The 16,825-nt window shown below is 41.1% G+C and overlaps 1 long non-coding RNA gene across 1 annotated transcript in view, besides 1 other annotated feature; it reads left to right on the forward strand.

Annotated features, from left to right (window-relative positions):
- Positions 1 to 16,825, forward strand: part of LOC105370476 (uncharacterized) — a 166,495-nt gene that overhangs the window by 82,570 nt on the left and 67,100 nt on the right. The gene's annotated exons all lie outside the window — the stretch shown is intronic.
- Positions 9,028 to 9,531: an enhancer, noted in NCBI's record as "NANOG hESC enhancer chr14:45964153-45964656 (GRCh37/hg19 assembly coordinates)". NCBI's record gives its function as "activates a minimal SCP1, AML or CMV promoter by ChIP-STARR-seq in primed H9 embryonic stem cells {active_cell/tissue: H9 hESC(primed)}" and the evidence as "EXISTENCE:reporter gene assay evidence [ECO:0000049][PMID:30033119]".

Here is a 16,825-nt window from a genome sequence, read left to right on the forward strand (position 1 = left end):
CATCACTGTAGGACCACAAATATTGCAGAACAGCAAATGTTGCTGCCTGATCGTTCCTCTGGAAGCTTCATCTCAGAGGGGGACCTGTCCGTATGAGGTGTCAGTTGGCCCCTACTGGGAGGTGCCTCCCAGTTAGGCTACTCAGGGGTCAGGGACCCACTTGAGGAGGCAGTTTGTCCGTGCTGGGAGAACCACTACTCTCTTCAAAGCTGTCAGACAGGGATGTTTAAGTCTGCAGAAGTTTCTGCTGCCTTTTATTCAGCTGTGCCGTGCCCACAGAGGTGGAGTCTACAGAGGCAGGCAGGCCTCCTTGAGCTGTGGTGGGCTCCACCCAGTTCGAGCTTCCTGGCTGCTTTGTTTACCTACTCAAGCCTGAGCAATGATGGGCACCCCTTCCCCAGCCTCGCTGCCACCTTGCAGTTCTATCTCAGACCACTGTGCTAACAATGAGTGAGGCTCCATGGGTGTGGGACCCTCTGAGCCAGGCATGGGATATAATCTCCTGGTGTGCCGTTTGCTAAGACCATTGGAAAAGCCCAGTATTAGGGTGGGAGTGACCCGAATTTCCAGGTGCTGTCTGTCACAGCTTCCCTTGGCTAGGAAAGGGAATTCCCCGACCCCTTCTGCTTCCTGGGCGAGGCACTACCTCACCCTGCTTCAGCTCACGGTCCATGGACTGCACCCACTGTCCCACACCCACTGTCCAACAAGCCCCAGTGAGATGAGCCCAGTACCTTAGTTGGAAATGCAGAAATCACCCGTCTTCTGCATCACTCACTCTGGGAGCTGTAGACTGAGCTGTTCCTATTTGGCTATGTTGGAATGTCCCCCTCCTAATTCTTACAGCAAAGATACTGAAACATGATTTGTCAGCAGTTTTGTTTGTTTATTTGTTTTGCTTAGTTGATGGCAACTCATTCCTTCTAGATTGTTCAGGCCAAAAGCTTGAACTGATCTTTGACTTCTGTCTTCCATGTTTTACTTTTAGTCTACTCACAAATCTTGTTAGTTTACCTTTAAGATGTAATAAAAATCTAACATTCCTTACTACCTCTACTGCTAACAAACCATTTTGAAGCACAATTAATTTTTACTAATGAATTATTGCTATCATTTCCTAACAGGTCTTCTTGCTTATATCCTTGACTTAGTGTACTGGGTTGAATTGTGTTCCCCCCCCAAAAAATTCATATCCACCTGGAACCTCAGAATGTGACCTTATTTGGAAATAGGGTCTTTGCCGAGATAATTAATTAAGATGAGGTCTTACTGGATTAAAATGGGTTAGAATCCAATGGCTGGTGTCCTTATAAGATAAGTAAGCAGAGACACACAGAGAGTGAGAAAGCTGTGGGAGAATGGAGGTGAAAAGAACCTCTATCTATTATAAGCAAAGGACTGCCAAGGACTGCCATTAGCACTATAAGCTGGAAGAGTCAAGGATGAATCTTCTTGAGTTTGCAGAGAGAGTGTCCCTACCAACACTGATTTTGTACTTCTAGTCTCCAGAACTATGAGAGAATGAATTTCTATTGTTTAAGTCACCCAGTTTGTGGTACTTTATTATGAAAGCCCTAGGAGATTAATACACTCACTATGTCTGATTTTCGTAGAGCAGCCAGATGGCAGAAGTGTTATCTCTCTCATTCCTTTACAGTCATTGCACAAATGTCATCTTCTTAATGAGGCCCAGCCTGACCACCATATTTAAAATCATAACCTGCTCCCTGCTCTGACCCCACTCCTGGTCTTTTTTTAAAAGTTATTTTATTTATTTATTTATTTATTTATTTATTTATTTATTTATTTATTTTTTGAGACCGAGTCTCGCACTGTCACCCTGGCTGGAGTGCAATGGTGCAATCTCAGCTCACTGCAAGCTCCGCCTCCTGGGTTCACACCATTCTCCTGCCTCAGCCTCCTGAGTAGCTGGGACTACAGGCGCCCACCACCACGCCTGGCTAATTTTTTGTATTTTTAGTAGAGACAGGGTTTCATCATGTTAGCCAGGATGGTCTTGATCTCCTGACCTTGTGATACAACCGTCTTGGCCTCCCAAAGTGCTGGGATTACAGGAGTGAGCCACTGCACCAGGCCAAAAGTTATTTATTTTTAATTTCTGTGGGTACATAGTAGGTGTGTATATTTATAGAGTAAATGACATGTTTTGGTACAGGCATGAAATGTGTACTAATCACATCATGGAGCATGATAATGTGCAATAATCGCATCATGGAGCATGAAGTATCCATCCCTCAAATATTTATCTTTTGTGTTAAAAAAAAATCCAATTATACTCTTTTAGTTATTTAAAAATGTTCAGTTAAATTATTATTGACTATAGTCACCCTGTTGTATTATCAAACAGTAGATCTTATTCATCCTTTCTAACTATTTTTTTTGTACCCATTAACCATCCCCACCTTCGCCTGATTCAACTGCCCACTACCCTTCCCAGCCTCTGGTAACCATCCTTCTGCTTCAACTATCTCTGTGAGTTCAATTATTTTGATTTTTAAATCACACATGTAAGTGAGAACATGTGATTTTTGTCTTTGTGTGCCTGGCTTATTTCGGTTAATATAACAATCTCTAGTTCCATCCATGTTGTTGCAAATGACAGAATCTCATTCATTTTTATGGCTGAATAGTACTCAATTTTGTATATGTACCGTATTTTCTTTATCCAGTAACATGTTGATGGGCACTTAGGTTGCTTCCAGATCTTGGCTGTTGTGAACAGTGCTGGAACAAACATGAGAATGGAGATATCTCTTTGATATACTTACTGATTTCCTTTATGTTGGGTATATACCCAGCAGTGGGATTACTGGATCATATGGTCACACTATTTTTAGTTTTTTGAGAAACCTCCAAATTGCTCTCCATAGTGGTTGTACTAATTTACATTCCGCCAACAGCATACACATCCTCACATCCCGTCAGCCTTTGTTCTCCACATCCTCACCAGCCTTTGTTATTGCCTGTCATTGGATATAAGCCATTTTAACTGGGGTGAGACAATATCTCATTGTGATTTTGATTTGCAGTTCTCTGATGATCAATGATGTTGATGTTGATGTTGATCATATGCCTGTTTGCCATTTGTATGTCTTCTTTTAAGAAATATCTAGTCAGGTATTTTGGCCATTTTTTAATCAGAGTTCTTGTAATTGAGTTCTTTCCTATAGAGTTGTTTGAGTTCTTTATAGGTATTGAATATAAATCCCTTGTTAGATTGGTAGTTTGCAAATATTGTCCCCCATTCTGTGGGTTATCTCTTCACTTTGTTGATTGTTTTCCGTGCTGTGCAGAAGCTTTTTAACTTCATGTAATCCCATTTGTTTATTTTTGCTTTGGTTGCCTGTGCTTATGGGGTATTACCCAAGATATTTTTGCCCAGACCAATGTCCTGGAGATTTCCACTAACGTTTTCTTGTAGTAGTTTTATAGTTTGAGGTCTTAGCTTTAAATCTGTAGTCCATTTATATTTAATTGTTGTATATGGTGAGAGATGAGGGTCTAGTTCCATTCTTCTACATATAGATATCCAGTTTTCCCAGCACCATTTATTGAGAGACAACCTTTTCTCCAGTGTATGTTCTTGGCACGTTTGTTGAAAATGAATTTACTAAACAACAGATGTTGGTGAGGTTGCGGAGAAATAGGAATGCTTTTACACTGTTGGTGGGAATGTAAATTAGTTCAACCATTGTGGAAGGCGGTGTGGTGATTCCTCAGTGATCTAGAACCAGAAATACCATTTGACCCAGCAATCCCACTACTAGGTATATACCCAAAGGAATATAAATCATTCCATCACAAAGATACATGCACTCGGATATTCATTGCAGCACTATTTACAATAGCAAAGACATGGGATCAACCCGAATGCCTATCAGTGATAGACTGGATAAAGAAAATGTGGTATATATACACCACACTGTGGAATACTATGCCGCCATAAAAATTAACAAGATCATGTCTTTTGCAGGGACATGGATGGAGCTGGAAGCCATTATCCTCAACAAACTGATGCAAGAAAAAAAAAACCCCAAACACCACATGTTCTCACTTATAAGTGGGAGCTGATCACATGGGCACAGGGAGGGAAACTACACACACCAGGGCCTGTTGGGGCTGGGGTGGGAGGAGGGAAGGCATTAGGAAAAATAGCTAATGCATGTTGGGCGTATTACCTAGGTGGTTGGTTGATAGGTGCAGCAAACCTCCATGGCACACGTTTACCTATGTAACAAACCTGCACATCCTGCATATGTACCCCAGAACTTAAAAGAAAAAGAAAATGAATTTACTATAGGTATATGGATCTGTTTCTGAGCTCTCTATTCTGTTCCATTGGTCTTTGTGTCTGTTTTTATGCCAGAACCAAGGTCTTTTATTTAATATAGCTCTGTAGTATAATTTGAAGTTAGGTAATGTGATTCCCCCAGTTTTATTCTTTTGCTCTGGATAGCTTTGGCTATTCTGGGTCTTTTGTGATTCCATATAAATTTTAGGATTTTTTTCCCCTATTTCTGTGAAGAACGTCCTTGGTATTTTGACAGGGATTGAATTAAATCTGTAGATTGCATTGGGTAGTATGGAGATTTTAACAATATCGATTCTCCCAATCCATGAACATGGAATATATTTTCATTTTTTGATATCCTCTTCCATTTCTTTTATCAGTGTTTTTTAGTTTTCCCTATAGATATCATTCACTTCTTTGGTTAATTCCTAAGTATTTAATTTTATTTGTGGCATTTTAAATGAGATTACTTTTAGGATTTCTTTTTCAGATTGTTTGCTGTTGCCATATAGAAATGCTACTGATTTTTATATGTTCATTTTGTATCCTGCAACTTTCCTGAATTTGTTTTTTAATTCTCATAAACTGATACTCATGTCAGTTTTCTGGTGGAGTCTTCAGGTTTTTCCAAATATAAGATCATATCATCTGCAAATAAGGATAATTTGATTTCTTTCTTTCCAATTTGGATGCACTTTATTATTTCTTTGTCTGATTGCTCTAGCTAGGACTTCCACTACTATGTTGAATAACAGTGGTAAAAGTGAAAATCCCTTACAAAGTCAACCTAGAAAAATCACTAGCATTTCTATACACCAACAACAGTGAATCCGAGAGCCAAATCAAGAATGCGATCCTATTTATAGTTTCCACAAAAAGAATAAAATACCTAGGAATACAGCTAATCAGGGAGGTGAAAGATCTTTACCATGAGAACTATAGAACACTACTCAAAGAAATCAGAGATGACACAAACAAATAGAAAAACATTACATGCTCAAGGATAGGAAGAATCAATATTGTTAAAATGGCCATACTGCCCAAAGGAATTTATAGATTCAATTCTGTTTTTAGCAAACTACCTATGACATTCTTCACACTACTAGAAAAAAAAACGATTTTAAAATTTATATGAAACCAAAAAGAGCCCAAATAGCCAAGATAATCCTAAGCAAAGAGAACAAAGCTGGAGGCATTCCTTCTCCATGTTATTCTGAATTTCTTTGAGTTTCCTCAAAACAGCTATTTGGAATTCTCTGTCTGAAAAGTCACATATCTCTGTGTTGCCAAAATTAGTCCCTATTGCCTTCTTTGGTGAGGTCATGTTTTCCTGGGTTGTCTTAATGCTTGTAGATGTTTGTCTGTGTCTGGAAATTGAAGAGTTAAGTATTTATTGTAGTCATCACTGTCTGGGCTTGTTTGTGCCTGTCCTTCTTGGGAAGACTTTCCCAGATATTCAGAAGGACTTGTGTGTTGTAATCTAAGCTGTATCTACTTTAAGGGTCACCCCAAACCTGGTAAACCTGTGGTTCTTGCAGATGCATAGAGGTACCACCTTGATGGTCTTGGACAAGATCTGGGTGAATTCTCAGAATTAACAGGCAGAGACTCTTGTTCTCTTCCCTTACTTTCTCCCAAACAAATGGAGTTTCTTTCTTTGCTCTGAGCTACCTGAAGCTGGGGGTGTAGTGTCACAAGCAACCTTTTGACCACCACCATGGTGACTGTGCTAGGTTAGACCTGAAGCCAGCACAGCATTGGGTCTTGCCCAAGGATTGCTCAAACCAACTCCCTGGCTGCTGCCTATGTTTGCTCAAGGGTATGAGATTTTACAATCAGCAGGTGACAAAGCCAGCCAGGCTTGTGTCCTTTCCTTCAGGGTCACACGTTCACCCAGGCCCTGGGTGAGTCCAGAGGTACTCTCCGGGAGACAAGGAGTACCGTAAAAAACCTTAGAAGTCTATCTGGTGTTCTGCTCTACTGTGGCTGAGCTGGCAGTCAAACCACCAGGTGCAGTCCTTCCCACTCTTCCCTCCCCTTTCCAAAGACTGAGGAACCTCAGCCTGTGGCCACCACTTCCACAGGCCCATAGGGAATACTGCCAGACTACCACTGATGTTCCTTTAAGGCCCAAGAGCTCTTTAGTCTGCTTTGGGTGAATGTTGCCTGGCTTGGGACGCACCGTTCAGGGCAGCGGGTACTCCTCTGGCCCAGGGCAGGTCCAGCAATGTCTTCCAAGGGCAAAGTCTTATAATTGGAGAACACAAGAATCCACTTGGTGCTCTACCGCCCTATGGCCAAGCTGGAACCTAAGGTTCAAGAAAAAGTCCCCTTTATTTTTCCCTCCAATTTTATTAAGCAGAAGGGGTCTTTTCCCATAGCCACCACAGCTGGGAATGTGTTGAGTCTCACCTGAAGCCAGTAAATCTCAGAATCTCACTCAAGTCCCTCAACATAATACCTGGGTATTGCTGCTGGTTATTCAGGGCCCAAGGGCTCTTCAGTTAGCAGGCAATGAATGGTGCCAAGACTCAGTCCTTCCGTTTAAGGTAGCAGGTTTCTTTCTGGCCCAGGGTGTGTCTAGGAGTGTTATCTAGCAGTTTGGGCATGGAGAGGAGGCCTCATGACTCTGACTGGTACCCTATTCTGCTGTGGCTGAGCTGGTATTCAGGATGCAAGACAAAGTCCTCCCCACTATTCCCACTCCTCTCCTCAAGCAGAAGGAATGGATCTCTTTTGGAGACATGAGCTGTTCAGCCTGGAATTAGGGGAGGGGTGATGCCAACATTCCCTTAGCCTCTCTGGCTGATGTCTCAGTATGTCACGTGTCCTCCTGTCCTCTGGCTCTTGGCCCAGTTTATCACTAGGACTCGCCTAGGTGTTGCAGCCTAGACTGCCTTTCAAGTTTATTTAGAGTGCCAGAACACATTAGCCCATCGTGGTGAGGCTTGTGAGAACTGAAGTACTGTCCACTGGGATTAACAGTTTCCCCCCCAGGTAGGGCTCCCTCCACCGGTGAGCATAAGCTGAGTTTGGTTCACTTTTCATTTCTGTTTTAACAGGTCAGCACTGAGTTCAATGCCTCAAATTGCTGTGCTTTCCCTGCCTCAGTGCACAGAAACCTCTCTGGACCACTCTGGCACTTCTGTCAGGGGATGAGAAAAGGGTGGTGTCAGTGATTCAGGACTGTTTTTCTACCTTTTCAGTGTCTGTTTCGGCAATATGAAGTTAAAATCAGGTACTGTGAGTGTTCCCTGGTTTTTGACTCTTATGAAGGTGCTTTGTGTGTATGTGTGTGTGTAGATAGTTGTTAAATTGGTGTCCTTGCAGGAGGGATGATTGGCAGACCCTTCTATTTCACCATCTTGTTCCACCTCCCCACTCCTGATCTTTATCTTCTCCTGTTTATTTTTCATACCAAAATTATCTTCTAATATACCAAATAATTTACTTACTTTTAAGTATTATGTATTTCCCCTCACCCCTCACTAGCATTATAAATGTAGCAACATTTGTATGTCTTGTTTAATAGAACAGTGTGTGGCCTGTAGGAAGTCTTCAAATATTTTCTAATGGATTCATTCATTTATTCCAAAATATTTTACTGCATACAATGTGTTATGCAGTGCTCTTACTATATTTTCATGTGCTGCGTTTTCTGTAGTGCTATATAGTTCATGGAAGTATTTTAAATTCTTTTAATAGCTATTGTTCAGGGTTATTTGTATTTTGTGAGTTGTTAGATATAATGTACCTAGGACAATCTTGGTACATACTAAGTGATATATAAACGTTAATTTTACTTTTGGAGGGAAAAGGAATTGCTTCCTATAATAAATACATTCTAGGCTGGAAAGAAATGTAAATACTGTTATTTCTTGGCTTTCTTGAATACAGCAGCTCAGAGGTGTTCTTTTAAAATAATTTCACATGCACCATTTTATGGGATATAGTAGAATATATGTAATGCAACCATGCTATTTTATATGATAAAAAAGGGCTTTATGTGAGACAAATGGGAGTGGGTTGGTGGGAGAGTAAATACACTTAGTGGATTCATTTGATTTTCAAGTAAGTGCATTTTTAGATTTTGGTATATTTTAAATTTCTTTCTGAAGGACCAGCATTAGTATATTTATCCTACAACATTGTATTTACAAATAGAGAGTACATTCTTTTAAAAATTACAGAGATTTGATATTCACTTGAAAATTCAGTGTGGCCTATACTAATCCAAATAAAATAAGGAATATGATAAATGGAATTGCAAATAAAAATCCTTTCTTAACTCTCTGCTGAGATTTGAATAAACTCTAGGACAGAATATAAGCTGATACAAAAATAAGACTGTAAGTGAATGTATATATGTAAGTGTGTAAGCATATATATATTTCTATTTTCTTTTCTATATGTCTATGGATATACCTGGTTCTTCAATCTATTTACATATTATTGCTTAGGTATTTCCTTAGTCTTCTGTTTCTACTTGACCAGTGTGTTGTTTTTTTCAAAAGCAATTTTTATTTTCTCATATTTTTTTTTATCTGGTACATTTTGACTTTCTCTACTTTTTTCCTTATGTTTTATGTATATCAAGCTCGATTTATTTTTACCCATTTAATTTGCCACAAGTGGATTTTTAAAGTTTCATTATTTGTACTTGCAATTCTTAATAACACTGTGTGTGTGTGTGTGTGTGCGTGCGTGTGAGTGTGTGTGTGTGTGTGAACAATAAAGCTTTTTAATCACCTGGGTACAGGTGGGCTAAGTCCGAAAAGAGAGTCAGCAAAGGGAGATGGGGTGCAGCTGTTTTATAGGATTTGGGTAGGTAAAGGAAAAAGGGGGGTTGTTCTATGGGGGGCAGGAATGGGGGTCACAAGGTGCTCAGCAGGGGAGCTTTTGAGCCAGGATGAGCCAGGAGAAGGAATTTCACAAGATAATGTCATCAGTTAAGGCAGGAACAGGCCATTTTCACTTCTTTTGTGGTGGAATGTCATCAGCTAAGGCAAGAACTGGCCATCTGGATGTGTACATGCAGGTCACAGGGGATATGATGACTTAGCTTGGGCTCAGAGGCCTGACATTCCTGTCTTCTTATGTTAATAAGAAAAATAAAATGAAATAGTGGTAAGGTGTTGGGACGGCAAAAATTTTTGGGGGTGATATGGAGAGATAATGGGCGATGTTTCTCAGGGCTGCTTCGAGCGGGATAGGGGTGGCATGGGAACCTAGAGTGGGAGAGAATAAGCTGAAGGAAGATTTTGTGGTAAACATTTGTCATTTAGAATTATTGGTGATGGCCTGGATACGGTTTTGTATGAATTGAAAAACGGAATAAGAGAAGGAGAATAACAGGTATTAAAGGTCTAAGAATTGGGGAGGACCTAGGACATTTAATTAGAGAGTGCCTAAGGAGATTCAGCATAGTCCTGCCAGCAAAGATTATTTATTTACTTTAAGAGTTAAGAGTGGCAGTTTGGGGATAGCACCAGGAGATATCAGCTGTGATGGCTTGGAGAAACAGTGTAAACTGGCAGTGTAAACAAGAGCAGGGCAAGTATGAGTAGTTGAGAACAGTGAATAGGAGTATGACTAGACAAGATAGTAGGGATGACAAGTTTTTTGGGGCACGGTCCAATTTGGTCTGGTGTCTGGAATGAAACTGGGGCCTAATAAAAAGGAGCGTCCATACAGGAGCTCAAATAGGCTGTACCCTGTAGTATTCCGAGAACAGGTCTGACTTCTGGGAAGGGGAAGTGGTAAAAGTATTGTCCAGTCCTTTTTAAGTTGGTGGCTGAGCTTGGTGAGGTGTGTTTTTAAAAGACCATTTGTCTGTTCTACCTTTCCTGAAGACTGAGGACTTTAAGGGATATAAAGGTTTCACTGAATACCAAGAGCCTGAAAAAATGCTTGGCTGATTTGACTAATAAAGGCCAGTCTACTATCAGACTGTATAGAGGTGGGAAGGCCAAACTGAGGAATTATGTCTGACAGAAGGGAAGAAATGACCGTGGTGGCCTTCTCAGACCCTGTAGGAAAGGCCTCTACCTATCCAGTGAAAGTGTTTACCCAGACCAAGAGGTATTAGTTTTCTGACTTGGGGCATGTGAGTAAAGTCAATTTGCCAGTCCGGGGCAGGGGCAAATCCCTGAGCCTGATGTGCAGGAAAGGGAGGGGTAGTAGAATAGCACATGGAACACTGATAAGTGATTTCTTTGAGGATATATTTCTAGGATGGAAAGGAAATGAGCGGTTCTACGAGACGGGCTAGTGGCTTGTAACCTACATGGAAGAGGTTATGAAATGACGACAGAATAGAATGGGCCTGTGAGGCTGGAAGGAGATATTTTCCTTGGTCTAAGAACTATTTCACTTGTATGGGAAGAGATTGATAGGTGGCAGTTTCAGCGGGGGAGTAGGTGAGAGTGACCGATGTGAAGGAGAAAAACTGGCTGTGAGGGACAGAATTTGGAAAGCTAGCTGCTTGTCTAGCCACCTTATCAGCATAAGCGTTGCTTAGAGCAATGGGATCTGACGCCTTTTGATGGCCTTTGTAGTGAATGACTCCAGCTTCCTTTGGAAGTAAAGTGGCCTTGAGCAGAGTTTTTATTAAAGAGGCATTAATAATGGAGGACCTTTGCATAGTGAGGAAACCTCTTTCAGCCTATGTAACAGCATGTTGGTGCAAAATATGAAAGACATATTTACAGTCAGTATAAATATTGACACGTAGTGTTTTTGCAAGAGTGAGGGCTTCAGTTAAGGCAACTAGTTCGGCTTGCTGAGAGGTAGTGGAGGTGGGCAGAGCAGTGGCCTCAATGATAGATGTGGAAGATAATATAGCATAGCCTGCCTTTGCTGGTGAGTGGTGATTAGGCCTGGTGGAACTGCCATCAATAAACTAAATGTGTTCAGGGTGAGGAACAGGAAATAAGGAAATATGGGGAAATGGGGTGAATGTCAGGTGGATCAGAGAGATACAGTCATGAGGGTCAGGTGTGGTATCCAGAATAATGTGGGAGGCCAGATTGAAGTCCATGCCAGGAACAATGGTAATTGTGGAAGACTCAACGAAGAGTGAATATAGCTGAAGGAGCCGGGAAGCAGAAAGTATATGCGTCAGGTATGAGGAAGAAAATAGATATTGGAAGTTATAAGAACTGTAGAGAGTGAGTTGAGCATAGTTTGTGATTTTTAGGGCCTCTAAAAGTATTAAAGCAGTGGCAGCCACTGCATGCAGACATGAGGGCTAGGCTAAAACAGTAAGGTCAAGTTGTTTGGACAGAAACGCTGCAGGGTGCGGTCCTGGCTCTTGTGTAAGAATTCTGACCGCAGTAACCATGCCTAGGAAGGAAAGAAGTTGTTGTTTTGTGGAAGGGATTGAGGTTTGGGAGATTATTCGGACACAATCAGCAGGGAGAGCACATGTGTTTTTACGAGAATTATGCTGAGATAGGTAACAGATGAGGAAGAAATTTGGGCTTGACTGAAGTAATGGGGGCTGTCTGTGAAGCTTTGCAGCAGTACAGCCTAGGTAATTTGCTGAGCCTGATGGGTGTCAGGGTCAGTCCAAGTGAAAGCAAAGAGAGGCTGGGATGAAGGGTGCAAAGGAATAGTAAAGAAAGCATGTTTGAGTTCTAGAACAGAATAATGGATTGTGGAGGGAGGTATTGAGGATATGAGAGTATATGGGTTTGGCACCACGGGGTGCATAGGCAAAACAGTTTGGTTGATAAGGCACAGATCCTGAACTAACCTGTAAGGCTTGTTTGGTTCTAGGACAGGTAAAATGGGGGAATTGTAAGGAGAGTTTATAGGCTTTAAAAGGCCATGCTGTAGCAGGCGAGTGATAACAGGCTTTAATCCTTTTAAAGCGTGCTGTGGGATGGGATATTGGCATTGAGTGGGGTAAGGGTGATTAGGTTTTAATGAGATGGTAAGGGGTGCATGATCGGTCACCAAGGAGGGAGTAGAGGTATCCTATACTTGTGGGTTAAGGTGGGGGGATGCAAGAGGAGGACATAAAGGAGGCTTTGGATTGGGAAGAAGGGTGGCAATGAGATGTGGCTGTAGTCCAGGAATAGTCAGGGAAGCAGATAATTTAGTTAAAGTGTCTCAGCCTAATAAGGGAACTGGGCAGGTGGGGATAACTAAAAAGGAGTGCTTAAAAGAGTATTGTCTAAGTTGGCACCAGAGTTGGAGAGTTTTAAGAGGTTTAGAAGCCTGGCTGTCAATACCCACAACAGTTACGGAGGCAAGGGAAACAGGCCCTTGAAAAGAAGGTAATGTGGAGTGGGTAGCCTCCGTATTGATTAAGAAGGGGATGGACTTGCCCTCCACTGTGAGAGTTACCTAAAGCTCGGCGTCCGTGATGGTCTAGGGGCTTCTGAGGCGATTGGGCAGTGTCAGTCTTCAGCCGCTAAGCCGAGAAGATCTGGGAAGGAGTCAGTCAGAGAGCCTTGGGCCAGAGTTCCAGGGGCTCTGGGAGTGGCTGCCAGGTGAGTTGGACAGTCTGATTTCCAGTGGGGTCCCGCCCAGATGGGACGAGGCTTGGGAGGAATCCTGGGTTGCGGGCATTCCTTGGCCTGGTGGCCAGATTTCTGGCACTTGTAGCAAGCTTCTGGGGAAGGCAGGCCTGGAGGAATGCCTGGCCACTGCGGTTTAGGCGTTTGGAAGTTCGTGTGCTGGAGATGTGGCTGGGGTTTGTCTCACAGTGGAGGCAAGGAATTGCAACTCAGAAATATGTTGCTACTTGGCTGCCTCTACTCTATTATTGTACATCTTGAAGGCGAGGTTAATTAAGTCCTGTTGTGGGGTTTGAGGGCCGGAATTTAATTTTTGGAGTTTTATTTAATGTCGGGGGCAGATTGGGTAATAAAATGTATATTGAGAATAAGACGGCCTTTTGATCTTTTAGGGTCTAGGGCTGTAAAGCATCTCAGGGTTGCTGCCAAACGAGCCATGAACTGGGCTGGGTTTTTCATATTTGATGAAAAAGAGCCTAAATGCTAACTGATTTGGGAGAGGTCAGATAAAGAAAAAGGAGCATTAACCTTGACTATGCCTTTAGCTCCAGCCACCTTTTTAAGAGGAAATTGCTGGGCAGGTGGGGGAGGGCTGGTCACGGAACGAAACTGTAAGCGGGACCAGGTGTGAGGAGGGGAGGTGATAAAAAGATTATAGGGTGGAGGAGCAGAGGCTGAGGAAGAATTGGGACCTAGCTCGGCCTGGCGAGGAGCAGCCTGGGGAGGAGGGGAGAGGTCAGATGGGTCTGTAGAAAAGGAAGATTAGACTCAGCGACGCTTGGGGTTGGGACTGAGGGGACAGGCGGGAGGGAAAGAAGGAAGATTTGGGACAAGTTGCATTGGGCACAGAGACTAGGGAGGGACCGATGTGTAAAAGAATGCCTGGACGTCAGGCACGTCAGACCGTTTGCGCATTTTACGACAAGAATTATTTTGATCTTGTAGGATGGAAACATTGTAAGTGCCATTTTTTATTTATTATTTTTTCTATTTCTCTCACCATTTTTCATCTCCACCAAAGTAAAAGTTTTTTCATTTTGTTTCACTTTTGCAATGATCTTTTGTTTGACTGGTATACCATTTCCCCTCTTCCTCTTCCAGCAAACCTCTACTTGTCCTTCTTGACTCAGCTCAGGTAAATGCCATCTTCCCTGGTAGGTCCCAGCTGACCACCCACACCCTTCCCAGATAGGAATAGGTGGTCCTTTTCTGCACTTCTGCACCAACCAGTGCATATGCCTATAATCACATTTATTTTTTATCTGTTTGTCTTTTATTTAACATCCTTCACAGTGGGATTCTTTTGTTCACCTCTGATTTATAATATCCCCACGCATCTCCTGGAACAAAGTAGATAACTCCATACTTTTATTTTAAAGATCGTTGATAAGAAATTTTGTATTTTAAAAAAGTTTATAGGTGGGAAAATACTTTCTTTTGTAGATACTTAAATTCAAATTGTTTAGAAGTGTTTGAAATAGTCCTGAAATCTTAAACAATGCTAAGCATTACAAAACAAACATTTGGCCAAAGTATATTTTTTACAGATATCAAAGTAATGATTCTAAGACATTAACAAGAAGTTTTTGTATGCCATTAAGGCACTGTGTCATGTGGTTTTCCTAAATGTATTCTCATTTTCGTTCTTACAACAACCTTGCCAATATAATTATCACGTTTATAGAAATAGGTACTGAGTGAAAAATAATGTCCCTCTTTACCTCTTTAGAAACTAATAGTGATCTTCTGTGACTTATCTGTTTCTCTTTGGTATTTATATTCTTAGTGAATGCCACCTGTCTTCACCAGGTTGTTTCAGTTAGGAACTAAGGTGCCATTAGTGACTGACAGTCTTCTCTCTCCCCACCTGTAGCCCATCACAAATTCCCATTGACATACCTACCTCACAACAGAATCCATCCACTTGTCTCTATTAATGTGGCTGTGCAATTAGTCCAGGCTGCTTTCATTGCTTACCTGGGTGCCTGCCACAGTTTCCTAATGGGCCTCCTTGCCTCCAGCCTACCTGCAATTCAATTTGATTTCTATCATTTCTCTTGCAATGAGAGGAATCTTCGTGTAATTGTGTCACTGTCCCTCTAAAAATATGTTCATGACTCTCGTATGTTCTCAGGATAAAATAAAAATTCCTTCATTATCTGGATCTAATCACTGTTCTGCAGTTCACTCAGTCCTCCAGTCAGATAGGATGTTCTGTTCTCCTGAGCTCTCTTGCTCTCCTCCCTCCTCCTTTCTTTCTAGGACTGCATGTGTTTTATGTGGCTGTGGAACATTTTGCCTGCCTGCCTTCCTTTTGTTATCTCATGTTTCTGATACCTGCTTATCGTCTTAGCCCTTATTCTAGAGATTCTGCTCCTTTAAGACACTTTCCTGCTCAATGCTTATTTTGCCTGCAACACCATCACCTTCATTCAAATGAGATGTGCTTCCTCTGTGCTTCTTTGGCATCCTGCACTTTATCTTTAATAACATTTACCACAGCAAATTGCTTCTGCCTATTTATTTCTCTGTGTCCCAAGGGCTGCGCCAGTGCCTCGTGCATTGTTATATTACAATCACTTAATGCTGTGCTTAGTACACCTTAGGAGGAATGCAAATAAAGATTTGCTAGATGAATGAACGAACTTTCAATCCCATCTGAAAAAAAGAAATTGCCGTATTGCTGAAACATTTTTGTTTGAGTATATCTTCAGACAAAATTCAAATGTTAATGTCAAATATTATTATAAAATTATTAAAACTAATATGTTTGTTTCTATTTTTCTTTAAAAGGAGTTGTTAGCTTTGTGTTGCTCCAATGGACTTAATAGTTGGGCATTTCAGGGACAAAAACTTTAGTGTAATGTATCAAGGAACATATAAAGAATACTAGCCTTAATTATACAGAGTCTAGGTCAATTTCTTAGATTGAGGTAGAGAGGAGTAACTCCATGGAATTTTTATAAATTAAAAGTTAAAAAGGTTATCTGAAACACATATGGGACACAGTGACTGCAAGACTCAGATTTGCTTAGAAACGTGGGAAGAGTAGAATAAGCTAAAAAATAATTATAAATCTGGCAGTCATAAGAGAAACAAAGAAATATGGAAAGAAAAGGAAGGATGACATGTCCCTTAGCTGAAGGAAGAGAGGAATTCTTTTGGGGAGAAGGATTAAGATATATGTCCATGTACATAGGTTCATAGGGTAAAGAAAATATATCACCCTTAGACCCAGAGTTTACAAGGATCATGAAAAAATAAAGGAATATCTTTTGAAAGTTGCAGATAGGGAGTCAATACAAGAGCATTTAGGGAGTCTTCTTTTGATGACCAGAAAGACTTTGCTAGTCATTATAGAAAATTTGGACAGGCTTGAGATGGCTAAGCTGGAAATTTCAGCACCAACCTTGGACATTATTTGATGAGTTTCAGGGTGACTGCAGTAACTGCAGGTAGGGAAGCACATATTTTTAAGTCTCTTGGGGGAAACATTGCCATGAAATTATAAAATTTTCAACTCTATGAGAATGCACATTAATTATGAAGCATATTAAAAGTGAGTCGGGCAAGACCAGTATAGACAAGTAAAGCATTGGGTTACAAATTATACTAATGGAAGGCTATTTACTGTGTGGAGTCATCCTGCTTAGGAAGTTGAAGGAGGGTAGAATGTATTTGAACAATACATTGTAGCTCATAGCATACCTTACACTTTATGATTTCATATCTCTCACTGTTGTGGAGGACTCCATAAGGCAGAATATGGAGTTAAAAAGAGCAAATTTGAGAGCTAGAAATAATGAAAAGGATATTAAATCAGTATCAACGAGAAATGAATATTATTATTATTACTTCTTGGGATAGAGAGGGAACAGGTATAACTTAAGGATCATGTGAAATTGTTGAAACTTGCTTAAAAGGAATAGAACTGTAGAAAAAGGTGTGAGGCTGGAGATCCATTCCATTATTACAGGAAACAAGATGG

Source organism: Homo sapiens, chromosome 14 (assembly GCF_000001405.40).
Source record: "Homo sapiens chromosome 14, GRCh38.p14 Primary Assembly".
In the NCBI taxonomy this organism is placed as follows: Eukaryota; Metazoa; Chordata; class Mammalia; order Primates; family Hominidae; genus Homo; species Homo sapiens.